General features: G+C 37.8%; 1 protein-coding gene across 1 annotated transcript in view, besides 1 other annotated feature; it reads left to right on the plus strand.

The window, feature by feature from the left end:
* FOXP2 (forkhead box P2) overlaps nt 1-27,983 on the plus strand; it is a 607,439-nt gene that overhangs the window by 98,695 nt on the left and 480,761 nt on the right. The gene's annotated exons all lie outside the window — the stretch shown is intronic.
* Nucleotides 23,187-23,288: a silencer, noted in NCBI's record as "fragment chr7:113848263-113848364 (GRCh37/hg19 assembly coordinates)". NCBI's record gives its function as "represses an EF-1alpha promoter that drives an FKBP-Casp9 reporter gene in an ReSE screen in phorbol 12-myristate 13-acetate-treated (for megakaryocytic differentiation) K562 erythroleukemia cells {active_cell/tissue: K562(+PMA)}" and the evidence as "EXISTENCE:reporter gene assay evidence [ECO:0000049][PMID:32094911]".

Consider the following 27,983-nt stretch of genomic DNA (forward strand, 5'->3'; position numbering starts at 1 on the left):
TTCTACCTTTAAGCCTATCTTAAACTTACCTAGATTTAAAGAAACATTTCAAGTCCTATAATTTCCCCTAAAACATTCCCTACAACGTATAGTGCTCTTATGTCTCTGAATACTTAATGCTTACAGTATATATAGTAAGCACATATTTTTATGGTCTCCCATATTCCACTAATGTTGTATTTATGTTTATTATTCTTTTAAACAGTTTTTTGGCTCCTTCAGATCTGGGCCCTGGATTATACTTTGGGTTTCAATTATTGCCAATCTAGTATTGAGCACTTAGTGGATACTCAGTAATACCTGACTCTGGGCTTTATTCCCCGTTCTGACAATGACCAGGTGTGTGGTAGTGGGCAAGTTGCTTAATATCTCTGGGCTCTAAATTTTAATTTGTAAAAATGGGATAAAAATAAAGCCTATCTCAAAGGGTTGTTATGGAAATTAAATCAAACTTTGCAATATAAAGCACTTAGCCTAGTGCCTGGAACATAGTAATTGCTTAGTAAATGCTAACTTTTGTTATTATTGTTTATCCCAGAGTGGTATCACAGAGTGAAATGTCCATGTTCAGAAATTCAGACTTACCTCAGAAGCAAAGAATCCCAAATTCCCACTTTTTAAAAGTCATCCACACCTCTCCTTCAGGGAAACAGCTGTCTAATTTGTTACTTTGATTCATGCTCACTAGCAAGAATTCTAAACCCTAGGTTCTTTGCCTCCAAAGGTTCCTGATAAAAATGAATCTCAAGAATTAGTTTCATTTTTTATTCTATATATTTACTTTATGCGTTTAAAAATATTTTTCTAAGGAGGAAATAGGTGTTTTAGTATTTACCACTAACTGGGTAATTTATAATCAACAGAAATTTATTGATTCACAATTCTGGAGCCTGGGAAATACACTATCAATATACGGGCATCTGGTAAGGGCATTTTTTGCTATGGCATCACGTGGAAGAAGAGCAAAGAGAAAGAGAAAAAGGAGGGCTGGACTTACCCTTTTATAATGGCACCAATTCCACCATGAGGGTGTAACCCTCATGGCCTAGTCACCTCTTAAAGGCCACACCTCTTAATACTGTTACAATGGCAACTGAATTTTAGCATGATTTTTGGACGGGACGTATGTTCAAACCATAGAATCTCATCCCTGAGCCCTCCAAACTAACGTCCTTCTAACATACAAAATAAATTCCTTCCATCCCAGTAGCCTCAAAAGTCTTAATTTGTTCCAGCATCAACTCAAAAGTCCAAAGTGTAGAGTTTCACATATGGGTGAGACTCAAGGCACCATTCATCTTGAGGCAAATTTCCCTCTTGGAATAGTATAATATTTCTCCCTATTTCAAAAGGGAGAAATAGGTAAGAAAAAAATGGGTAACTGATCTCAAATAAGTGTAAAACCCAACAGAGCAAACAGCATTAAATGTTAAAGCTCCAGAATAATCTTCTTTGTCTCTTTGTCCCACCTCCCAAATACACTGGGGTGGGAATCGGGCCCCCAAGGCCTTAGGCATCCCTACCCCTGTGGCTTTGCTGGAATCAGCCCGCATAACAGCCCTCAGAGGTTGGAGTCTTGTACCTGCAACTTTGCCAGGTTGGTGTTACACTCTGGCAGCTCTAGAGTTCTGCAGATGGCCTCATCGCTGTGGTGGCTCCGTCCCTGGGGCAGTTCTTAGCCTGGGTCCCCAGGCTCTCTGAGGCATCTTTTAATATCTAGGTGGAGGACATCATAGCCCCACAGGTCATGCACTGTATACATCTGCAGAGTTAGCGCCATGTGGACACTGCCAAGGTTTATCGTTTGCATCCTCTGGAGTGGTGACCCAAGCTGTGACTGGGCTGGGTTGAGCCATGACTCGGGGAGCCGAGAGATGTGCCAGAATTTGGGGAGCAGACACTTGAGGTGGCTCAGGGTAAGGAATGCTGAGGTCCTGCAGGCTCCCTGGGTTTCTCTTTCAAAGCTTTTCTGCCGTCAAGCATGTGATGGGAGGAACAACCTGGAAAATCTCCAAGATGCTTTCAGGGTCATTCTCCAATTATTTTGTACAATAATTTCTGGCTTTTCTCCATCCATACTCATCTCCTTATCAAATGGTCACTGGGCTGCACCTTGATTTTCCTTACCAAACATGCTTTTCCATTCTTTACATGATCAGGCTAGGAATTTTCCACATCTTTGTGTTCTTTCTTATTTAATTATAAACTCCATCTTTAAATTATTTCTCTCATCTCATATTTTAATATATGGAATTAAAAGAAGCTATGCAGTACCATGAAATACTGAGCTGCTTAGATAATTCTTCAGCCAGATATCCTAGTTCATTGCTTTTAAGTTCTGCCCTCCATAAAGTCCTAGTACACAGACATTCAGCCAAATTTGTTGCTACTTTATAACAAGGATAGATCTGTCTCAGATTTCAGTACCTTGCTCCTCATTTCCATCTGAGTCTTTACTGTCCGTATTTCTACCAGCATTCTGGTCACAACCACTTATCTCTAGGCAGATTCAGATTTTTCCCTACAACTCTTCTTCTGAGCTGACAAAAGAATTGCCCTTAATGCTTTATTCATGTAAATACAGACTTTCCTATAGCATTCATTTCAAAACTGTTCCAGCCTGTAACTAGTACCTGGTTCCAAAGTCACGTGTACATTTTTAGGTATTTGTTATAGTAACAACCCCATTCGTGATACCAGTTTTTGTCTTAGTCTGTCTTGTGCTGCTGTAACAGAATATCACAGACTGAGTAATTTATAATGAATAGAAATTTATTGACTCACAGTTCTTGAGGCTCAAAATATTAATATCAGGGTGCCAACCTCTCACAAGGGCTTTCTTGCAGCATCATCACATGGCAGAATGGTTTAGAGAGAGCGAAAGAGGGGGCTAAACTCACCCTTTTTTAATAGTATCAGTCCCACCCATGAAAGCAGAGCCCTCATGGCCTAATCACCTCTTAAAGGTCTCTCCTCTTAATACTATTACAATGGCAATTACATTTCAACATGAGTTTTGGAATGGACAACATGCAAACGATAGCAATAGTTTCACTAGACTGACAGAATCTCATGGCACCCAAAACATCTAAGAATCCCCACCAGAAAATTTAATTTATTTTCCACAGAGCACAGTCATGGTGCTCTACTAAAAGTGTAAATTGGATCATGTCACTCCTCAATGTGAAAGTCTTTACTTGTATTTGGAATAAAATACGAACATCTTACCTTAACTTTGAAAGGCCCTCTATAATCTGGCTCCTGCCTAGTTTTTCTTCTTCATCTATTGGTACTTTCTTCCTAGTTCATTCTGCCTGGCATCACTGGCTTTCTCTCTGGTTTTGCAATCCTCTTTGCTTCAGGGCATGTGCTCTTGTCACTGTTGGGAATTTTTCCCTCCATGCCATATGTGTGGTTTGCTCCTTATACTTTGGGTCTCATTTAAATAATGTCTTATCTATGAGCTTTTGCTGACCACCCTACTTAAAGGTAGCTCCTCAATATAGGTAATAAAGGTAACTCCTCAATCCTTTTTTTTATAGCTAATTTCATGTACTTATTTGTAACAAATCAATTCGCTTGTTTTGAGACAGAGTCTCGCTCTGTTGCTGAGGCAGGAGTGCAGTGGCACCATCCTGGCTTATGGCAGCCTCGACCTCCTGGGCTCAGGTGATCTTCCCACCTCAAATATGTTTGTTTAATGTCTGTTCTGTACCAATTTGCAAACTCCATGAGGATATAGGAAGTGTGAGTCTTGTTCAAACTGTCATAATATGGGGCTTGACCTTTGTAGATCAGTAAATATTTATTGAATGAATGAATGAATTGGGGGGAACATGAATAGTCTGCTATTTGGAATATATAAACTCATTTGTTTATTAATAAACTCACTTATTAGACAATGAAAAATGAGAGAACAACCATAACATTTAAATTCTGAACAGCTTTCAGAGTAATTCATGAGCTACAGTTGAATGCTTTAATCTCCTCAGTTATTCAGAAATGAAAAGTAATAGTTCATTATATGACAAGGGGAACCACCCAGAAAATCAGAATTTTAAAAAATGTGCTTAACTTCCTTTCATCTGCTACACCTTCCCTCTGCCATATCCTAAGCCTATACCCAATTAACTTTATTTCATAATAACATTGTTTTAGGATTGACTCATTTCATTACCATATATCCAATTCATGTACATAGATTTAACTACTTTTCTGTCATATGTAACATTTATTTTAAAAATTTATGATGTGTATAGAAAGTTATCTCTCAAAACTTAAATATTTCTGATCCTGTTAGAGTAAGTCAACAGCCTTTTATACTTAAAACATGTTTATTGAGCTGATTTTTATTAACATAGAGGCTTCATTCCAGTAATGTATAGATTTAGATGGTAAACCTTTAAAATTATATGTGGAAATAAATCCCATAAAGATATACTCTCCTACTTTTCCCATCTCTCTTTTTGGGGAAAAGGAGTGTTTAGTAGAGTTGGAGAAAGACTTGGATAGAATATTTTCTTTCTCTAAGTCAATGATAAACTGAGATTATTTTCATTAGTATCTTAAATGACAAGTGATCATCTTATCCTGAATAACCTTATGACTTATAAAAATGAGAAACAGTAATATATAGTTAATATATAGTTTATACCTTGATCATTATTTGGGAGACGTCACTGGGTCAAAATTTAGGCAATTTTTTAAGAGAACGTGACTGTTATTGACTTGATTACCATATTCCTTTTATTCTTTAGAGATCACTAGGTGCCCGGTGGTTCCAGTAAGAATTCATGATATTCTTTTTTCCTCATTTCACTTTTGGCTCAACATGATAATTGATTGCTTGTAGTCTTGTTCTTTTTTTGGCTGTAGCAATTTTGTGTAGAGTATTTCATGCAAATGAGTGCATGTTTATGAAAGCCTATTTATTGAAGAAATTTTACTTTAGGTCACTTAGGATGTAACAAGGGGAAAAAAGAAGGCCTATGTACTCACTTGATGCATTCTAGCATTATTTACTTATCTTAGGACCCAGACATCACAAGGAAAAGATATTACTTAAGTGATAAGTAACATCATGCTACTCTTTCTATCTTTCTCACTGAATGAAACTAAGTTATACCTTGTAATGGTTAATTTTATAAATCAACTTGACTGGGCCAAGGGATGCCTATATATCTGGTAGCACATTATGTCTGGGTGTGTCTGTGAGGGTGTTTCTGGAAGAGAGTAGCATTTTAATATGTAGAGGTAGTAGTCTGAGTAAGGAAGATGACCTTCACCGTGGAGGGTGGGCACCATCCGATTAACTGAGGGCCTGAATAGAACAGAAAGGCCAAGGAAGGATAAATTTTCTCTCTGCTCCAGCTGGAACTTCCATTTCTCCTGCTCTTGGACATCAGTGCTTCTGGTTCTCTAGCCTTCAGACACAGCCTGGGACTTATGCCAGGGGCTCCCCGTCTTAGGCCTTTTGGTGTGGACTGGGAACTACACTTGTGGCTTTTCTGGGCCTTCATCTTGCAGATGGAAAACCATGGGACTTCTTAGCTTTTATAATCACGTGATCCAATTCCTCATAATTGTTGTGGAGACATATTCTGTTTCTCTAGAGAAACCTTAAAACATGCCTGATTCCAGTTCTTAATATTTTTGTCTTACTGTGTCTGATTTTCTCCCTCCCTCTTTTCTTTTTTCCTCTCTTCTTTTACCACTCTCTCTTTCTTCTTTAATCAACTTATATCCTTCTTCCAGAGAAGAAAAAAAGAAATGGATTCACTTATCAGAAAATGTAAATAAACCAATAAATATAAAAAGAAAAATTGCTATCAAATTGTAAAATGATTTTCTGCTTGGATTAGGGAGGAGGAGGTATCTGGTTGTGTGAAGTAGGTAGAGGGAGCAGGAAGGTATAATTCCTTCTTAAACAGCTTAAATCAGTCCTCTTCCAGAGGTACCTAGTCCCCAGAAGATCTGGGGATATCTGTGGTATGGATCAGATAGTTTCTTGGTTTGTCCCCAGTGTTAGCCAGTGATTCAGCTTTTTGAGGTCTGGTTGATCAGGTATAACTCACGTATTAGCATTCTAACTTCCGACATTTTGTTGCTATTGTCTTCCTCTTGAACTTTCTATCCCTGTAGGTTTATTCCTTTTTTGAATAGTCTTTAGCTGTCATTTTTTATAGTTTATGGAGGGAGAAGGGCTAAATGTATACCTTTCCTTTCTGATTTTAACTGGAAGTTCTCATTCCACTCTTTACAGAAATGTGTGATGTATCTAGTTAGATATAGAAGGAGAGAAAGAAGCAATCTCTAATTACAAAAAATCCCAAGAGAGAGGACATGCCCTGTGGCCCAATGAAAGTATTTAACTTTACATATACCTATTTGTTCTACACCTCCCTGGAGTGTGATTTGAGCTAAGGGCAGGAATAAAAACTTTGAGTTTTTCTCGAGAGACGCATATATTGCTGGACCCTCAAGCACAAATGTGTAGCGGGCATATGGTATCAGTCTTTCCACAAAATATTTGTACTGAAGAATTATGAACATATAACCTGATTTGTTAACTTCTTTCTTTTTTGACTAGTGGGCTTTTCAAAATAGAAGTTTTAGGTTTACAGAAAAAGTGATTTGTAAGTACAGAGTTTCCATTATTCCTTTTCCTCTCCCAACACAGTTTCCCCTATTATTAACACCTTGCATTAGGTACATTTGCTACAATTGATGAACCAATTGTGATACAGTATTATTAGCCAAAATCCAGAGATCACATTAGTGTTCATTTTTTGTGTTGTTTTTTTCCGCGGGTTTTGACAAATGTACGATGTCATATATCCACCATTACAGTATCATACAGAGAAGTTCCCCTCTGCTGTACCAATTCATAACTCTCTCCTCCTTGAGCCCCTGACTTATTGAACCACTGAATTTATTACTGTCTCTGTAGTTTTGCCTTTTCTTGAGTGTCATATAGTTGGAATACTATATACTGTAACCTCCACCTCCTTGGTTCCAGCAATTCTCCTGCCTCAGCCTCCTGAGTAGCTGGGACTACAGGCATGCACCACCACACCCAGCTAATTTTTGTATTTGTAGTGGACTACAGGCATGCACCACCACACCCAGCTAATTTTTGTATTTGTAGTAGAGACGGGGTTTCACCATGTTGGCCAGGATGGTCTCTATCTCTTGACCTCGTGATCTGCCCGCCTTTGCCTCCCAAAGTGCTGGGATTACAGACATGAGCCACTGCGCCCGGCCTCTCCTTGTCTTTTTATGGTTTGATAGATCACTTCTTTTTATTGTTGAATAACATTTCATTATATGGATGCTTCACGGTTTGTTTATCCATTCAGCTGTTGAAGGACATTTTGCTTGTGCCCAAGTTTTTGGCAGTTATATGTAAAGCTGCTATAAATGTCTCACATTCTTGTGTAGGTGTTTGTGTTTATGTCAGTTCATTTGGATAAATACCTAGAGAGCAATTTTCAGGTTGTGTAGTAAGGCCATGTGTATCTTTGTAAGAAACTATCAAATTGTCTTCCAAAGTGGCTGTATGTACATTAACTTTGTATATTTAAAAAAATCTAGGTTGTTTCATACAGCAGTGTATATTGCAATCAGTTGTAACTTGTATTTCACTTATCACTGTTTAAACACATACAGTTTCACTGTAAAGGTTTTATGAGTTCAGTATTTACTGCTACATTACTACTTAATGTTGCATTGGCCCTAACATTTATAGAAGACAGATTCTAATTAAAAGAAAGTACTGTATACATTTAAAGTAATCACATCAGCACAGTTTACTTTCCATATAGTGAAGGAATTCTCAACACCTTAGTAGAAATAAAAATACATAAATGAAGAGCTATGGACTGTGTTCAAGTGATGATGTTTTATTTGCTTTATATTTCATTTACTCATTCAGTAAACATCAAATAAACACCTATGGTCCTTGATCTTAATGAGTTCTTATATTTCAGTCTCTATGCCTTAGACCAGTGGTCCTCCATACTCTAGGTTATATTAACATTATTTATAGTAGATATTTTATAATATCATCTTTATATCTTGAAATGAAATACAGAGATAAAAGACTTTCCTATACTTTGTTGAAGAAAAGGTATTTAATACTGTAACGTAATTTGTGGTAAATAGTTATAGGTTTTAAATTCACAGACATTTATATAGTAAAGGTTTGCATGTATTATTGAATCATCCATGTGAGGAATGACTACAAATGCAAACTAATATTAATGCTTTGTATTCGAGTTTCAAATTCCAAGAGCAGCATTAATGTTGATTATGTCATTTTCTGAAGTAGTGAACAACTCTTGGTTTAGTTCTGACAAACTAAAATACATTCTTGGTTTATGTTAGTTGTATTCCTAGATAATTCAATGTATATTAAACTGTAATAATATATAATTATACATGTTATATAATATTTTATCTGTGTGTGATATAATTACATAATATAATACATTATATTTATATTTGAATGGAAAGTGAAGATAGGGTCTAGAGTTAAATAACTATAAACCTATTCATACCTAAAAGAATGTCCGGTGGGAAATTTTAGGACATCTTACATTCCATGTCCTTACCTAGTAAGTATGAGCAATTCCCATCAATTATTATGACAACTATAAATGTCCCATCAAATTTTTGACTCTCTCAATGGCACTACCATTGTTGAGAACCATTGTGTTTGATTATTTAAAAATGACTCTACTTGTAATTCAGTTTGTCGGTATGGTACATCTTTTATTTCACCACAAAATAAGTTAATGGCTTCAGAAATCAGAGTTAGTGACGGATTGCAAATAAAGTCACAACATTTAGTTAGCTAAGGACATCAAAAGTAAGGCAAGTTTGCTTCAATACATAAAACTTAGAAAATTGAGAGATGCAATGTGGGATAGAAAAGGTAAATTACTTGTACAACATCATAAAACCTGCCAGTGGCAGTGCACTTTTTACTAAGCCTTGCTGTAACCCTGTGCTTTGGAAATTTGTTCTAAATCTCCTGTGCATAAAGACTGATTTTTCTTCTTATCAATAACAGAGCAAAGAGGATGGAAAAAAAATTGGGAGCCCATTAACATTGTATTTTCCCATTAATGTGCTTTAAAATTAATTTACAACTGCTTTTATTTTACTTTCTTTTTTCTCTCTTCATTACATCAAGTATCTTTTCTTTGGCACTTGTTATTCCTTTGTGATCACTGCATGTCTTTTCTTTTTACTGGCTTCTTAAATCCTGCTGCATTGCTTTTTGCCTTTTCTTCTTTTATCTTTTCTCTTCTGTTTAATTTTTAAATCCTTTACCCTTTATCTTTCTCTCTGTCTTTTTAGCTGCTCTCCCTTCCTTTGATTTCCTCTTAAACATTACTTCTTCTTAACATTGTGTTATTTCATTGATTTTTTTTTGTTTTATCTTTTTAAATTTTGTTTTGCTTTTGTATATAAGACCTACCATGCTTACCCAAACTGAATTAAAGAGAGAAGATAGCGCTGAATCCTCATACTACATGAAAACAACAACATTTATTCAAACTTATTGCATGGATACTTAAAGCTTTATATGACACGTTTTCTCCTCTTTTTTTCTTTCTTTTTGCCACTAGCTTTTTGTTTTTAATTAAAGCCTGAATAATTGATTTGCAGATACATAGCAAATTTAGTTGTCTTTCATTTTGCTAATATGTTAATTCTAACTGTATACAAAATATAACTTTGAGAAATAAATATTTGTTTATAGCTAGACAACAACTAATTTTGCCTCTTATTAAATCTTTAGGATTAGCTGGAATACATTTATAATACTATTAAGAACACAGATATAGGACATAATAAATAAGAGATTATAATGAAATTGTTATTCTTTTGCAAAATTGCTTTATGTGTCAGAATAGTTCATATATTTGCCTTAATGTATATCATTTTTAATATTAATTTTATAACCCATTTTCTTTGGAATTTAAGAGAGATTGAGGCAAATGCATTTAAACCAAACTCAGTTAAACTGGGCTGATTGTTGGTTTTTGAGTCTGTCCTTGGGCATTCTAAGAAATAACTGTGAGGTGGATGTCTTGACAGTCACTTTTTACAGAGGGAGAGGAGCCGATGAATATTATAAGGAAAAGCAGAAGTGCATGAAATATTGGGTGCTTCATTTCTGTTTCAAGCAAGATAATTCTTGAGGGACATTGAAGAAAGAGACCAAGAACTAGTGACTTGCCACACAGAAAGTTAGAAATTCAGGTTTGACATTAGTGATTATCTTGCCTCATGTTTATCTTATATATGTATATATTCTGTTCATTATTGTTCCTATCCATACTCAAGATTAGTTTTACTTACAGCTCATTGATAGACAAATATAGCATTCTCAGCATCTTCTCATTGCTGCTTATGACAGCTTTATATATGTGTATGATGTTTATATATAATTACATAAGTAATGTATTAGATGTTGTTATTATATAACTCATTACTGATATTTTAAATAATAGTTCATTCATCCACTAATTTTATTGAACAGTTACTGAAGCTTTATTCTTAAAGCTAACTGTAACAGTTGTTTTTCCCTCTTATTTAAAATCATTAAATTCATATATTTTTTTCTGATAATGTTGCTGGAATTGTTTATTTCCCTTCTTATGGTTATGATTCTTCCTAGGGTTATATTGGTTTACATTTATTCCGTCCAGGAAGAAAGGGCTTACTAAGTTGATTGGTAATGTTGACTGGATTTTAGTGTGCATATCAAATATATTCAAAATAAACTATTTTGTGACAACTAATGCACCTTAGAAATAAAAACTCTATAGTCTCTGCTACTTGGGAGGCTAAGGAGGGAGAATCGCTTGAGCCCAGGATTTTGAGTCCAGCCTGGACAACACAGTGAGACCTCATCTCCTAAAAAAGAAATAAAAACTTGGTATTTTAATTGTATATTTTGTATTTTAAAAAATTAATTAATTAATTTATTTATTTATTGCGGCAGAGTCTCGCTCTGTCACCAGGCTGAAATGTGATGGCGTGATCTCGGCTCACTGTACCCTCTGCCTCCAGGGTTCAAGTGATTCTCCTGCCTCAGCCTCCCGAGTAGCTGGGACTAGGGCGCGCGTCACCACGCCCAGCTAATTTTTGTATTTTTAGTAGAGACTGGGTTTCAGCATGTTGTCCAGGATAGTCTCCATCTCTTGACCTCGTGATTTGCCCACCTCGGCCTTCCAAAGTGCTGTGATTATAGGCATGAGCCACCACGCCCAGCCTAAAAATTTTAAAAGGACCTTTTATTAAATAATATCTTCTTAGCCTTGTTTTTCTATGTTAATTAAATACAATTTCTTTGCTAATTTACTAACTTTAGACACTTAATTCCCAAACCTGGTGATTATTAAACTATATTGGAGAAAAATTATTAAACTATATTGGAGAAAAATTTAAAACTTCCTTTTGTCAGATGGGTTCACATCTTATAAATTTAGTTTGGTATTCTGTGTATGTGTGTGTTTGTGTAAAATGCACTCTTAGTGTTCTTAATAGACTGTAATTTACACTTTTTATCAAGTTGTGTCAGTCATTTAAGAGTATGGTTTAGCATCACTATCATCTGGGAACTACTGTCAGAAATGCAAATTTTGGGGAGTCACCCCAACACATTGAATCAGACACTGTGGGTATGCGATCTGCAATCTGAGCTTTAACAAGCTCTACTTGTGATTCTGATGCTGCCTCATGTTCAAGTTCCCCTTATTTACATTTAAAGACCTTCCCATTTGATTGTACAATCTTACTTGTTTTTAAAATAAATTTTCTTAACATATGCATCATCTTGAGTGGGTTTATAATTCAGTAACACCCCAAATTTGGGCTGGACATGGTTGCTCATGCCTATAATCCCAGCATTTTGAGAGGCCGAGGTGGAAGGATTACTTGAGCCCAGGAGTTCGAGTCCAGCCTTGGCAACATAGTTAGACCCCATCTCAAAAATAATAAAAATATTAGCCATTAGCCAAGTGAGGTGGCATGCACCTGTGATCTCAGCTACTTGAGAGGCTGAAGTGGGAGGATTGCTTGAGCCTGGGAGGTTGAGGCTGCAGTGAACTGTGATTGTGCCACTGCACTCCAGCCTCGACTACACAGTGAGACCCTGTCTCAAAACAAAGCAAAACAAAAAACAAAAAAGACCCACCTCAAATCTCTAAGTTCATGTATTAGTCAGCCTAGGCTGCTATAACAAAATACCGTAGACTGAGTAGTGTAAACAACAAAAATTTATTTTCTCACAGTTCTACGGGCTGGAAGGCTAAGCTCAGGGTGCCAGAATGGTCAGGTTCTGGTGAAGTCTCTCTTTCTGAGGGAGAGAGAGAAATAAAGAGCACAAAGTGCAACTCTGAGTTTGAGGGCTCTGTGTCTCTTTATGAGGGCATTCATCCCATCATATGGGCTTCACCCTCATGACCTCATCTAAACCTAATCACCTCCCACAGTCTCCACCTTCAAATACCATCATATTGGGAGTTAAGGTTTCAACTTGCGACTTTTGAGGGGGACATAATTCAGTTCACAGAAGTCCAGTTTTCATTGATTGATTTTTTTCTATATAAAACAAGATGTGATGCTAAAATAAAAAGACTTTTGTGAAGTAGTCCTAACCTTTTTTCTAATGGTGTACCTTTTAAATATTAGTTTCTTTGTTTGAAAATGCAATAAAAATGTAAGCCATGTGTGTCATGAATGTTTGGGAAATTCAAATGTGATGGATATGTGAAAGAATGGTATAGTTACAGCATTTTATAGCTGTAATAAAGGCCATTTTAATTTTTGATTTTTTTTTTTTTTTAGACAGGGTCTCACTCTGTCACCCAGGCTGGAGTGCAGTGGCATGATCTCAGCTCACTGCAACCTCTGCCTCTTGGTTTCAAGCGATCCTCCCACCTCAGCACCCCAGGTAGCTGGGATTACAGGCATGCACCACCATGCCCAGTTAATTTTTGTATTTTTGGTAGAGACGGGGTTCTCCATGTTACCTAGCCTGGTCTCAAACTCCTTGGCTCCAGTGATCCGCCCATGTCAGCCTCCCAAAGTTCTGGGATTACAGGCATGAGCTACCGCCCCCAGCCAGTATTATGTTGTTATTCATGTCAGCTGCCTGTGTTTCAGTCAGTAACTATAAGTACATCTAAGCAGTGAGCCATGTGGCATTCAAACACTCTACTGATTGGAAACAATAGGTCATTGGAGGTCATAAAGGAGTATTGGAAGTGGTCATAGAAATCATTGAGACCATTTTCTACCTGATGCAGAAGTCCTCTCTAGTGGTCCCCAACATTTTTGGCACCAGATTCCATTTTCCTGGAAAACAGTTTTTCCAAGAATGCTATAGGGGGGTAGGGGATAGGGCTGATGGTTTCATGATGAAACTTGGTTCCATCTGAGATCATCAGGCATTAATTAGATTCTCATAAGAAACATGCAACCTAGATTCCTCTCATAAGCAGTTCACAATAGGGCTCGCACTTCCGTGGGAATCGAATGCTGCTGCTGATCTGACGGGAGGTGAACCTCAGTGGTAAATGGTCACTTGGCGGGGCTCACCTCTTGCTATGTGGCCCAGTTCCTAACAGGTCACGAACCAGTACCGGTCTGTGGCCTGGGGCTGCTCTAGAATATCTTAATGTTTGCTTGATTGCCATCAGTCCCTGAATTAGTAAGGATTCTTCAGAGAAACACAACCAACAGAGAAGAGTGGGGAGAAGGAGAGAGGGAGAAGACTGATTTTATGAAATTGGGATCTGGCAAATTTGAAACTGGAGCCAGCCAGCTGGAGATACATGGAAGAGTTGACATTGCAGCTCATCCAAAGACAGTCTGGAGGCAGAATTTCCTCTTTTTCGGGTCCTCTTTTTACTTTTAAGGCCTTCAACTAATCAGATTAGTCTCACTGCATTATGGAGGGTAATATACTTTATTGAAAAATACTTTGTTTTTTAGATAAGGTCTTACACTATTGCCCAGCCTGGAGTGAGTGCAGTGGGGTGATCCTAGCTCACTCAGCCTCAAATTCCTGGGCTAAGGAGATTCTTCTGCCTTGGCCTTCCAAAGTGCTGAGATTACAGGTGTCACCCGCTGTGCCTGGCCCTCAAATATTAATTTCACCTGAAAATTTTCTTCACATGTAGTGACAACTAGATATGTTTTGGTTGAATGTCTGAGTAAAATGGCTTAGAGAATTTGACACATAAAATTAACTATCACAGCTTTCCTTAATATTTAGGGTCAATTCTACTTTTAATGTATTTTGTAACCTTTCTAATTTTAAAATGTTATGAAAATAATATAAAATAAATACATATATAAATGAATAAATTGATAAATAAATACATGATGGTCAATACCAGATATATTATCTTTACTTCTTATTTTTAAAAATTCAACTACCTGTCAACAATGTGGAAGCATTAGAAAGGGAGCAGAGCTAAGAGAAGTGCATGTAGAGCACACTGGTTCATAGACACAGTAGCAGCAAGTCACAGAGCTCTGTATTTGGCCCTACTCATATGGTTATCACATCTGCAAAATGCACAAATTAAAGAAGAGTAGCTATTATGTTGAATGTTTACATTGAGACCCCACAAGGATTTTGGCAGAATGGTCTGACAAAATAGCAACGTGAAAATTAATGGGATGACTATAAAATCTTGTTCTTAAGTTTAATAAAAGTTTTACATGTGTAGATGAAAAAGACACTTAGAAACATACCACCGAGTAAATACTGAAAATACCACAGGAGATTGCAGGAATTGGTGAAACAGACTGATATACAACACAGCTGTTGCCTAATATGGGGTAAAAGGTAAATTTGATATGCTATCATCTTCTCTTGGTAAAACTTTTTATATCAAATAAAGATTTTTATAAGTAAAACACTATAGAAGGTATTTTACTTTCATCATATCCTGCCTTGTATTATAATTATTTAATAGCTTAAAAATTGTAATCTACTTTTCCTTCACATTAGATTATGAATTTTATCCTCCATTCAGTCCTGTACACACAAAATCAGCCCTCAATTAATTCTAGTTCAGTTTACTTAAAAGTAGCCATCACCAAATAACTTTGGAACAATACCTTCAAGTTATTTTCTTTAATGACAAGCTAATTGATAAGAAAGCAACAATTCAATCAATCAAATAAGGCCTTACAGGAGAGGTTGCTGGCAGGATATAACCAGAAGAATCCAGATCAAGCTGTAAGTAATTCTTTCCAATCTTTTTTTTGAGTCATGATCCTGACATAGATATAATATGTGACTTCTTAAGCAATTTATCCAAAGTTATTCTGAACCCTGCATCATATTCACTTTACTGGATATAATTGGAAAGCACATTGTACTGAGATGTCTGAGGAGACTAGGGAGACAGGAAACACTGAAAGAAGAAGGCATTATTTACTAATCCTTGAACTATTCTCTGGCAAAAGTGACATTTATTGATCTTGCAGTGCCTATGATTTCTATAAAACCTAGTTGTGGGACAGTTTAGCTAATACCGATATTGATAGGCATACATTTCTGTTGGGTAGTACAAAAGTCAGAATTTCAAGTTGATGCCATTTGACCAAGAACTGGGAAGCAATGGTATATTTTAGCCTTCCCATTCCTCTAACTTCACTTAAATTTTGTAAGATTATGCCTCTTAGGATTTCCTTCAATTTGTTCATGTAAATTACTTTTTTCCCCTATGCTACTATTACGACGTCTATCACTCAAAATCTTTTTTCTAAACATTGACCATTTCAAAGAAGCATCTTTCATAATTAAAAAATAACCTGGTCTGGCCCATTGGCTCACGCCCGTAATCCCAGCACTTTGGGAGGCTGAGGCGGGTGGATCACCTGAGGTCAGGTGTTCGGGACCAGCCTGGCTAACATGGTGAAACCCTGTTTCTACTAAAAATACAAAAAATTAGCTGGGCATGGTGGCACACACCTGTAATCCCAGCTATTCAGGAGGCTGAGGCAGGAGAATCTCTTGAATCCGGGAGGCAGAGGTTGCAGTGAGCCAAGATCGTGCCATTGTACTCCCGCTTGGGCAACAAGAGAGAAACTCCATCTCAAAAATAAATAAATAAATAACCAACCTAATTTGGCTGGGCATGCTGGCTCACACCTGTAATCCCAACACTTTGGAAAGCCAACATAAGAGGATCTCTTGAGCCCAGGAGTACAAGAACAGCCTGGACAACATGGTGAGACCCCATTTCTACAAAAAACGAAAAATTAGCTGGGTGGTGTTCCTGTTGTCCCAGATACTCAGGAGGCTGAGGCTGGAGGATCACTGAGCCCAGAAGTTGGAGGCTTCAGTGAGCTATGTTCATTCCACAACATCCCTGTCTGGGCAACAGAGTGAGACCCTGTCTCTAAAAAAATGTTAAATTTTTTTGTAAAATAATCAAATTTAAGGAATTTGATTTACAAAATCACAGAAACTTTGAATTGATCATTTTACTGATATATTTTTGTTTTCTTATTTAATTTTATCGTACCTTCTCTATTAAAGGATTATAGTTGTTTTTACTGAATACATACAATCAAAAGATTAACTTTGATTTAAAGCATGTCTAGAACCAAATCATACGCTTGATAATATAGTGCTAGAGTCACCCTAAATGTTGAAATCATGTTAAATTCCAGTTTAATAAAACATGAACTGTCTACTGTATCCAGCACTAAAATTTTTCTGTATTTAAGCAATGACTGAAAATTCTATAGGAAGCAGGAGTATGAAATGGCGCAGTTGCCTTGTGATAAATCTGAAACTCTACTTGATACTACCCTTAAGCAGTCAAATATTTGAGTACAAATGCCTTGTCAGTTTTATGTCAGGGAACTTGGTCACAATCAAACTGTAAGAAACAAGATATCTTCCCTGGAAACTATACTCTGTCTGCCTTTTCTCTGTTTATAGATGAAAAACTCAAAACAAAAATAATTAAGAAAACTTCCATGACCACACAATTGGCAATGAATCCTCAGAAACCATCCAGAGGGAAGAGGATCTGGATGAGTACTGATGCAGACAATTTAGCAAGAAGTGTTTGGAAGGTTTGGAGGCATCATGTCTTTATTTTTATTTGGAAATTAAGCGATGATATTTGGTTGAGGCTGCAAATGAATAGGGGATATGAAAATATCCTTCTCTCTTGCCTTCTCCTCATTTCTCCCTTACATCCTCTCTGTATGTTCCTGTAAGAAATATTTATTTAGTTCCTTCTATGTGCAAGTCAGTGTGCTAATATGTGCTGGCTATAGGCTTATAAGGCATGGATTTAAAAAATGCCATGAATGATTTCAGGTCTGTTACAACCATTCAGGTAGTTTTTCAAGAGTCAGTTTATTAGTCATTCACACCTGAACACTGCATCTGAAATTTTGAAACCCAAATTCCAGACCTGGCATTGGCAGGAATTGGTTTTGAGATCCTACATATGTCACTTCAAGCTCTTTAGGCCTTAGCATGTTTTTATTTTTAAAATGAGGCACCTTCTTTCCTTGTAACAGAATGAGATTTTAGATTGTTAACATCACAGTGGTATTGGAAACCTGGTTAAGTAGCTGCAGACAGAAGTGGGTTTAAATCATGCCTTTGTGCTAAGAGGTCAAGTTACTTAATCTCTAATTTGCATATGTAATATAGGGATATATAGTTATACTCCCCTAATTAGACGTTTTGAGGATTAAATGAGACAGTGCATATAAAATGCTTAGCCAGTGTCTGGTATATAATAGGAACTCAATAAATTTTATCTGCTTTTATTACTATTTAATAGATGTGTAACACCTCTTACCAATCCTTTTACTGCTTTCTCTTGATTATCTCCTTCCATTTTCCTGGCTACTAAAAAATGTTTTCTACTATTTTCATATCCCCTATTCATTTTCAGCCTCAACCAAATATCATTGCTTAATTTACAAATAAAAATAAAGACATGATGCCTCCAAACCTTCCAAACACTTCTTGCTAAATTGTCTGCATCAGTACTCATCCAGATCCTCTTTCCTCTGGATGGTTTCTGAGGATTCATTGCCAATTGTGTGGTCATGGAAGTTTTCTTAATTATTTTTGTTTTGAGTTTTTCATCTATAAACAATGACAACCAAATCACATAATGCAGGTGAGACATTTAATAAATGTTAGTTTCTTTCCCTGCATTTCCCAGTCTTTCTACCTATATTCTGTACAATCCAGTGAGAGGTGTTTGCTTAAATTACAGATCAGTTTACATCTCCATCTTTTTTTATTTTTTTTGGAGACAGAATCTCACTCTGTAGCCCAGGCTGTAGTGCAGTGGTGCTATCTCAGCTCACTGCAACTTCTGTCTCCAGGACTCAAGTGATCCTCCCACCTCAATCTGCTTAGTAGCTAGGACTACAAGTGTGCGCCACCAGGCCCAGCTAATTTTTTTTTCTTTTTTTCTATTTTTGTAGACACAGGGCTTTGCCATGTTGCCCAGGCTTGGCTCAAACTCCTGGGCTCAAGTGATCCTCCCATCTCGGCCTCCCAAAGTGCTGGGATTACAGGTGTGAGCCACCATGCCTGGCAGCACCTGGCAACACCTTTTGAATAAAGGCCAAATGCTCTGTTTGGCTTACAAACTGATATAGCTAGTTCTTTTCTCCTTTCTACTGTTCTCTCCAACTAACTCGACTGCCTGTTTTTTGCCACGTTGCAGTTGAGTACACTTTCCCTTGATCTGGATTCTTTTCATATTTTCCTTATTTCTTCTTTATTTTGCTTCATTTCTTAAGACACAGCTTAACACCATAAATAGAAAAACTACATTGAGGGTATGGGTGGAATTAATCACTGCCATGGTAATATTTAATATACTTCTTACTGAGTCTATGTTTCATTGTAAATAGTTCTTTATATGTACATGTTTTTAAAAAAATCCACTTCCTCCCTTCCCTCAAATTTCATTTCCTAGCAGAAGTATCTCTTATTTTAAACAAATTTTTTTTCTGCTTCTTCTTCTGAGGCATCTTCTTTATTTGTTTACCTTTTCCTGTAGATCAATATGTCCGATAAAAGTATATACAAGCCACAGGTGTAATTTTAAAATTGTAATAACCACATTAACAAAATAAAAAGCGGTGAAACTCATTTCAATGGTACTTTTTATTTAAGCAACATATCCAAAATATTATCAACAGGTAATTGATATAAAATTACTAGTGATTTATTTTACCTTTTTTTGAATGTTTCCTGGAAATCCAGTGTATAGTTGACATTTGTAGCTCAACTCAGTTTAGGCTAGCCACATTTCCAGTGCTTAAAAGCAACATGTAACTAGTGGCTACTATATTGGACAGACAGCTCAGACAACTGTAGAAAAAGTCTGAGAACTGAGTCAGTAAGGAAGGGGTTTAACTCACAGCTCTGCATCTTATTCGCTAAATGATTTTTGGTAAGTTATTTATGGTCTCTGAACCTCATCCTCATCTCCCCTTCCCCGTTTTTCACATGCGATGATAATATCTCATACAACTGTTGTAAAACAAAACAAAACAAAAAAATAGAAATAGTGTAAGATTCCATTTAAGGCATCACGCACAATATTCTTGCCTATCAAAATTGTTTGCTTTTTGTGACAAAATTGTTTGTCACAGTTTTTTGAGAGTATTTGCTAGTAGCTAAATAATCTAATGTGAGTTTTGCCCTTTTCTTATTTGATAAAGGTTTTTAAGCATCAGTGAAATGGCCAAAGGGCAGCAAACATGGGGGAGTTAAGTCAGAAATAGTAGAGTACCTAAATAATCCTCGAAGTATTATATGTCTTGAATAACTAAGAGTTGGCTGTTGGTTGTGTGTGCCAAAAAAAAAAAAAAAATCATTGAAAAGATCTTTTCTTTGGAGTTTTCGCCCAGATCAGAATTTTATTGCCTTTTGCCGTAGACTGCTGCAAGATTTCCAGAGCAAAGAGAAGGTATAGTGTTCCTTAATGTGAGTTATGAAGATCAAAATACAGCAAAGAGAAGATTTCAGAGATTTAAAAGTGATAATTTTTACTGAAATTTGGAAATATGTCTCCATATTTTAACTTTATTTTATAAAAAAGAATTACTCTGTTTTTTGAAATGGCCAAGCATTAAGTAATATATGACCGTGAATTTCTTGAGGGTGGGAAATGTGACTGGATTTTATATTTCGATTGTATCACATGCAGCCTCACACATTGCGCTCAACAAAAGAAACAAAAAAGGAAGATCCTTTAGCCCAGTGTTTCCAAATACACAAATTTTCTGGACTAAAAGAGTATATTTGAAAAGCAAGTATAAAGCAAGTTGGTAAGAATCAGATGACCGTGTGGAGTAAATGATTCATTTTCCAATCTTTACAACAGCTTCATGAGTATCACTACATTGGTAAGGATTTTTGAAATAGGCATATTATTATTTCAAGTTTTTAATATTTTTGGTTTGATCATCTTTAGAAAGTAACCCCAAGGACTGTGTACTCAGTTTTAGTAAGTCAGGTCATATATTGAATTCTCTGGGAAGCATATTATGAGATGGAGATTAGCATTCAGTATATAATTATTAGGGGACCATTTTTGAGATCAAACCTTTGGAAGGGAAAGAAAGAAAGCAGAATTGGGGAGAGGGATGTAGTTTCAATGGAGGCCTCACAGACCTCATGGGAGCTCTGAAGCAAAGTGGCTCTTCAAGTTCTCCCTTATTCATGCAAGAGTTCAGACCTTTATACTTCTGCATTGATCATTGGATGAAGGCTATTCTAGAAAGTCTCTCTTCAACTTAGTAGCTGGAAAGATAAGTCCTTCATCCCAGAAGTGTGTTTGGGCAACATATCACAGCATCCACTACACTTAGAATAGTTAGAACCCATGGCCAAGCTTGGTGGCATGCATATGTCATCCTGGCAGTTTGGGAGGCCAAGGTGGGTGGATCGCTTGACTCCAAGAGTTTGAGAATAGATTAGAACCTAAAGTACCATAAAAAGGCTATCCCAGTCCTGGTCCAAACCACCCGTCTTTCCAGGACTACAATTAGAGACACATCTTTGCTCTTTCTATTTCCATCCTTGCCCTCATCTAGTCAAGTCTCCCCAGGACAGACAAAGCAAGCTGTGAAATGTAAACCAGATAGTCTCAATACCCTGCCTAAAAACTTCCAGTGGCTTTCAACTGAAAGAAAGAAAATCCAAATTCATTACTGTGGTCACTAGTCTCTGCTTGACCTAACTCTTATCTATGTCTGCAACATTATTTTTGCTACTTTTCACCTCACATATTATGTTTCTGACCTGTTGACCTCCTGTCAGTTTCTCAAACATGCCAGGTTATCTCCTGGTTGAGGGCATTTGCACATCCTGAGTCCTCAGCCAGGCAAGCACACCTCCTCACTTTCTCTGTGACTGCTTTCTTCTTATTATTTAGATCAAATCCCCATAGAGGCCTTCCACGACAATTCCATTTTATGCAGACCTCCAGTAGTCTTCATCTGTCATGTCACTGTATTTTCCTTCATGATCTTATTACAAACTGTAATTATCTTGCTTATTTAATTGTTTCTATATTTCCTCTCTTCCTCTGTTGGAATGAAAGCTCCATGAGTCATTTTCCCACTTTATACCTCTTTCTAGAATAGATCTTTGATAAGTTTCATTATTTGTTACTAAATGAAGGTTTTGAGCTATCTTACATGACCTACCTGTTTGACTTATTTTTAATATTACAGCTTTATTAAAACATAATTCACTTAGCATAAAATTCACCATTTTAAAGTGTATGACTCAGTGTTATTTTACTATATTCAGAGATTTATGCAACTGTCAGCATTATCAAATCGTAGGACATTCTCATCACCTCAGAAAGAAACCTCATTCTCATTAGCAGTCTCTCACTACCTCCCCCTACTCTGTAGTCCCTGGTAACCTTATTCTTTCTGTTTCTATAGATGTTCTTATTCTGGACATTTCATATAAATTGAGTAATACAGTGTTGTGCCTTTTATATAAGGCTTATTTCACTTAGCATAATGTTTTCAAGGTTTACCCATATTGCAGCATGTATCAGTACTTCATTCCTTTTTCTGGCCAAATAATATTCTGTTGTTTGGGTATGCTAGTTTTTATTTATCCATTCGGTAGTTGATGGACATTTAGGTTGTTTCCACTTTTTGGCTTATGAATAATGCTGCTCTGAGCATTCATGTTTTCATGTGGACATGTTTTCAGTTCTGTTAGATAAAAACTTAGGAGTCATATAATTTTATGTGTAACATTTTGAGAAATGGCCAAACTGTTTTCAAAGTCTCTGTACCATTTTAAAATCCCACCATCACTGTAAGGAGATTTTAGCTATCCTAAGTGGGTATGAAGTGATATTTCATTATGCTTTTTATTTTCATTTCATAAATACAGTATAAAACATTTAGCTTGTAAGCATCTGAAGAACATAAAAAGATATAAGGCAAATTCTTACTTGAATAATATTCACAATAATTTAGTAATGCCTGTTGACATCATCTACGTTCCTATTGGACCTACTTAATTTGTAAACACATATTAATTAACTAATTAATTAATTTCTTCCCACAAATTGAATTTTATTTCCTAGCCTCAAATCTTTTTTAGAAAGCTTTAAAAAGTATGTTAAGGTTTATAGCAATTTGAATTTGCCATTTTAGAAACTAAACAGTTTTTTGAATTTGTCTTCAGATTACTCTACAATAGGACCTAACTCTTAGTGGCTTGAGGCATATTACTTATTTTGACTCAAGCTTTATTTGAATGCCATGATTAAAAATAACTGAAAAGGCCAGATATGGTGGCTCACGCCTATAATCCCAGCATTTTGGGAAACCAAGGCAGGCGGGCTGCTTGATCTTAGGAGTTCAAGACCAGCCTGGACAACATGTGTGAGAGTCCCCACACAGAGTTCCTACTTGGTCACCACCTAGTGGACCTGGGAGAAGAGGGCCACTGTCCTCCAGACCCTAGAATGGTAGATCCACTGACACCTTTCACTGTGTACCTGGAAAAGCTACCACAGACACTCAACACCAGCCCATGAAAGCAACTGGGAGAGAGGCTGTACCCTGCAAAGCAACAGGGGAAGAGCTGTCCAAGACCATGGGAACCCACCGCTTTCATCAGTATGACCTGGATGTGCGACCTGGAGTCAAAGGAGATCATTTTGGAGCTTTCAGATTTGACTGCCCTACTGGATTTTGGACTTGCATGGGGCCTGTATCCCCTTTGTTTTGGCCAATTTCTTCCATTTGGAACAGCTGTATTTACCCAATGCGTGTACCCCCATTGTATCTGGGAAGTAACTAACTTGCTTTTTATTTTACAGGCTTATAGGGGGAAGGGACTTGCCTTGTCTCACATGAGATGTTGGACTGTGGACTTCTGAGTTAATGCTGAAATGAGTTAAGACTTTGGGGGACTGGTGGGAAGGCATACTTGGTTTTGAAATGTGAGGATATGAGATTTGGGAGGGGCCAGGAGTGGAATAACATGGTTTGGCTGTGTCCCCACTCAAATCTCATCTTGAATTTTAGCTCCCACAATTCCAATGTGTTGTGGGAGGGACCTGGTGGGAGGTAATTGAATCATGGGGTCAGTCTTCCCCATGCTGGTCTCATGATAGTGAATAAGTCTCATGAGATCTGGTGGCTTTATAAGGAGGAGTTTTCCTCCACAAGCTCTCTCTCTCTTTGCCTGATGCCATCCATGTAAGACATGACTTGCTCCTCTTTGCCTCCTGCCATGATTGTGAGGCCTCCCCAGCCACGTGGAACTGAGTCCATTAAACCTCTTTCTTTTGTATATTCCCCATCTCAGGTATGTCTTCATCAGTAGTGTGAAAACAGACTAATACAAAGGGCATGATTGTGTTTTGATTTGTGAGTAGAGGAAATTTGGGAGGGGCTGAAGTGGAATGATATGGTTTGGCTGTGTTCTCACTCAAATATCATCTTGAATTGTAGTTCCCATAATCCCCAGGTGTTGGAGCGATCAGATGGAGATAATTGAATCATGGCATGGTTTCTCCCATCCTGTTTTCATGATAGTCAGTGAGTTCTCATGAGATCTAATGGCTTATAAGGGGGTCCCTCCTTTGCTGGACATTCATTCTTCTCCTTGCTGCTCCCATGTGAAGAAGGACATGTTTGCTTCCCCTTCCACCATGATTGTAAGTTTCCTGCGGCCTCTCCAGCCATGCTGAACTGTGAGTCAATTAAACCTCTTCTTTATAAATTACTCAGTCTTGGGTATGTCGTTATTAGCAGCATGAGAATGAACTAATACAGGAGCTTATTTCTCTTTTGCTAGGAAGCTTAGTTTGGCTGGATATGAAATTCTGGATTGGAAATCCTTTTCTTTAAGAATGTTGAATATTGGCCCCTAATGTCTGCTAGCTTGTAGGGTTTCTATTGAAAGGTCCACTTTTAGTCTGATGGGCTTACCTTTGTAGGTCACCTGGTCTTTCTTTCTGGCTGCCCGTAACATTTTTTCTTTCCTTTTGATCTTGGAGAATCTGATGCTTATGTGTCTTGGGGTTGATTTTCTCATGGAGTGTCTTACTGGGGTTCTCTGCATTTCCTGAATTCAATGTTGGCCTGTCTTGTTAGGTTGGGGAAGTTCTCCTTGATGGCATCCTGAAGTATGTTTTTCAACTTTGTTTCATTCTCCCTGTCTCTTTCAGGTACCGCAATCACTCTCTTTACATAATCCCATAGTTCTCAGAGGTTTTGTTCACTCCTTTTCATTCTTTTTTCTCTAGTGTGTGCCTGTCTTATTTCAGAAAGAGTTTACAAGCTCTGAGATTCTTTCCTCTGCTGTCTGTTCTGCTGTTGATACTTGTGATTGCATTATGAAGTTCTCATCTTGTGTTTTTCAGCTCCATCAGGTCAGTTATGTTCTTCTCCATACTGGCTATTTTGGCTGTTGGCTGCTGTATTGTTTTATCATGATTCTTAGCTTCTTTGCATTGTGTTACAACATGCTTCTTTTGCTCAGTAAAGTTTGTTATTAGCCACCTTAGCAAGCCTACTTCTGTCAATTCATCCATCTTAGCCTTAGCCCACTTCTGTGCCCCCTGCTGGAGAGGTGTTATGGTCATTTGGAGGAGAACAGGCACTCTGGCTTTTGAGTTTTAAGTGTTTTTGCATCGATTCTTTCTCATCTTTGTGGGCTTATCTACCTTTGATGTTTGAGGTTGCTGACTTCAAAGATGGGGTTTTTGAATGGGGTCTTGAAGTCTTTTTTGTTGTTGGTCTTCTTGTTTTATGCCTGATTTTCTTTTAACAGTCAGGTCACTCTACCATAGGGCTGCTGCAGTTTGCTGGGGGTTTGCTCCAGACCCCAGTTGCCTCAGTTTTTCCTTTACCTGGAGGTATTACCAGTGATGGCTGCGAAACAGGAAAGATGGCAGCCAAATTTTTGCCCTGGAAGCTGTATGTCCCAGGGAAGTACTGACTTGTTACCTGCCTGAATACAACTGTAGGAGGTGGCTGGAGACCCCTGTTCGGAGGTCTCACCCAGTCAGGAGGAATGGGATCAGGGACCTGTTTAAAGAAGCAGTCTGGCTGCTTTTTGGTAGAGGAGGTGTGCTGCGTTGGGGGAAACCCTTCCTCATCTGGTCTGTTTGTATTCTCCAAAGCCAGCAGGCTAGAATGTCTGAGTTAACCAAACTGCAGAAATGGCGGCTGCCACTCTCCATGGGAGCTTCATCCCAGGGAGGGATAAGCTCTATCTGTAGGACCCTTCTGGAGTGGCTGCAGCAGCGAGATCCCATCCAGTGAGGAGGAAATCGATCGGGGTCCCACTTAAAGAAGCAGTCTGGCCACGTTCTGGCAAAACAGTTGTGCTGCATTGTGGGGTCCCTTCCTTCTCCAGACCCTTTGAATTTTCCAAAGCCAGCAGGCTGGAGCGGCTGAGTCTACCTAAACGCAGAGATGATGGCCACTCCTCCCTCTGGGAACTCGGACCCGCCTCAGGCAGATTCCAGCTTGCTGCTGTTGGCTGGTTGGAATTTCAGGCCAGTGGGTCTTAACTTACGAGGTGCCGTGGAATTGGGGTCCACAGAACAACGCTGCTTGGCTCCCTGTATTCAGCCCCCTTCCTAAAGATATGTATGGGCAGGTTTCCTGCCTTACCAGGGATCCCGGGGCCAGAGTATGTAAAACTCCTGGGTCTCTGTGTACCTGAGCAGCTACCCTGCTGAGAATCCACACAGCTCTGTGTATCAGACCCAAGTCCCTGGTGGTGTGGGCTCACAAGGGGATCTCCTGATGTGCGGGTTGCAAAGATCCACGGGAAAAGCTGGTTTCCCGGGTAGGATCACACAGTCACCACTTTCCTTGGCTGAGGGTGGGGGTTCCTTTGGCTCTGTTCCGCTCCTGGATGGGCTGTCACCCCTGGGTTGAGCTGTTTGCCTAGTCAGTCCCAATGGGAGAACTTGGATATTTCAGTCGAAGGTGCTGAATTCACTTGCCCCGTTCACATTCCTCTTTGTGAGTGCTGTGGACTGCAGCTGCTTCTGGTTGTCTTCTATTTCTTCTAAATTTTTAAAAGTTAATCAGTGTTAGAAAAATTAATCAAAAGTGGCTTTAGGGAAAATGTTTATACTGTGATTTCATATGCACTGTCCGGGAGTCATGTGTACCTAAGAGAGGAAGAACTGGACCCATTTCTTCTTTAAAAATATAATTTGTTTCTGCCGGGCACGATGGCTCACGCCTGTAATCCCAGCACTTTGGGAGGCCAGGGAGGGCAGATCACCTGAGGTCAGGAGTTCGAGACCAGCCTTGCCAACATGGCAAAACCTCTTCTCTACTAAAAATACAAAAATTAGCTGGACGTAGTGGTGGGTGTCTGTAATCCCAGCTACTCGGGAGGCTGAGGCAGGAGAATCACTTGAACCCAGGAGGCGGGGGTTGCAGTGAGCTGAGATCGTGTCATCTCCAGCCTGGGCGACTGGAGCGAAACTCAGTTTCAAAAATAAATAAAATAAAATAAAATAAAATAAAATAAAATAAAATAAAATAAAATATATATATATATTCTTTGTTTCCTTCTGCAAAGTATTGGAGATTAGTGCAGACAGGATCTTAAAATCAACTTTATTTTTATATTGTTTTCCTATCTTAAGTGTTTTGTGTGTGTTCTGCTTTCACGTCTGCTGTGTTTCTGCTAAGAAGGCATGCCATATTATTGAACTGACATTTTATTTCAATATTAGTAACAAGATAGCTAATGAGTTTGTAAAGGAAAGAAATAAAATTCACTTTTGTTGAACACCTCTTATATGCCAACTATTCTTTAATTTGCAAACAAAATCTTGTGAATTGGTGGTTTTTTACCCTCACAGATGAAAAAACTGGCTTTGTGAGAATCAGAATCATACCTAAAATTTCATTTTTCCATTGAGGTAGCATGAAAATCTAGATATTTTGACCTGAAGGCCAATAGACATGCTGAAAAAGAAAAAAAAAAACAAGGAGTTTGACATTTAAAATTCAACTTTCAAGTGTGTTCCGATATATTTTGTCTTTCCTCTTCCAAGTATTTTTGTTTTTTCTGTAGTTGTTTTTTACCCTGCCTCTTTCTAGAATAGTCTTAAGGCAACTTAGAATACATAAAACACAAGATGGCATAAATTAAGAATAGAATAAGACAGAAAAACAAGGGTGGGGAAAGTCTTTTTCTGAGAAAAACAACAACAACATCCTGTAAATGAATATTGCCGGGAGACTGGAAAACATTTGAGCTGGAAAAGGCTGTGGAAGTAAATGGGCTTTCTTGGTGCCAGCTTTGGCATCTGCTCCAGTCACAATATATGTGAGAAAGTGAAGTCTTGTTTGCTTTTGCTTCCTTTAAGTGCTGAAGCAGTGTCATGTACATGGTAAGCCCTTGATAAATGGTTGCTGAA

The sequence above is a fragment of the Homo sapiens genome, chromosome 7 (assembly GCF_000001405.40).
Source record: "Homo sapiens chromosome 7, GRCh38.p14 Primary Assembly".
Classification (NCBI taxonomy): domain Eukaryota; kingdom Metazoa; phylum Chordata; class Mammalia; order Primates; family Hominidae; genus Homo; species Homo sapiens.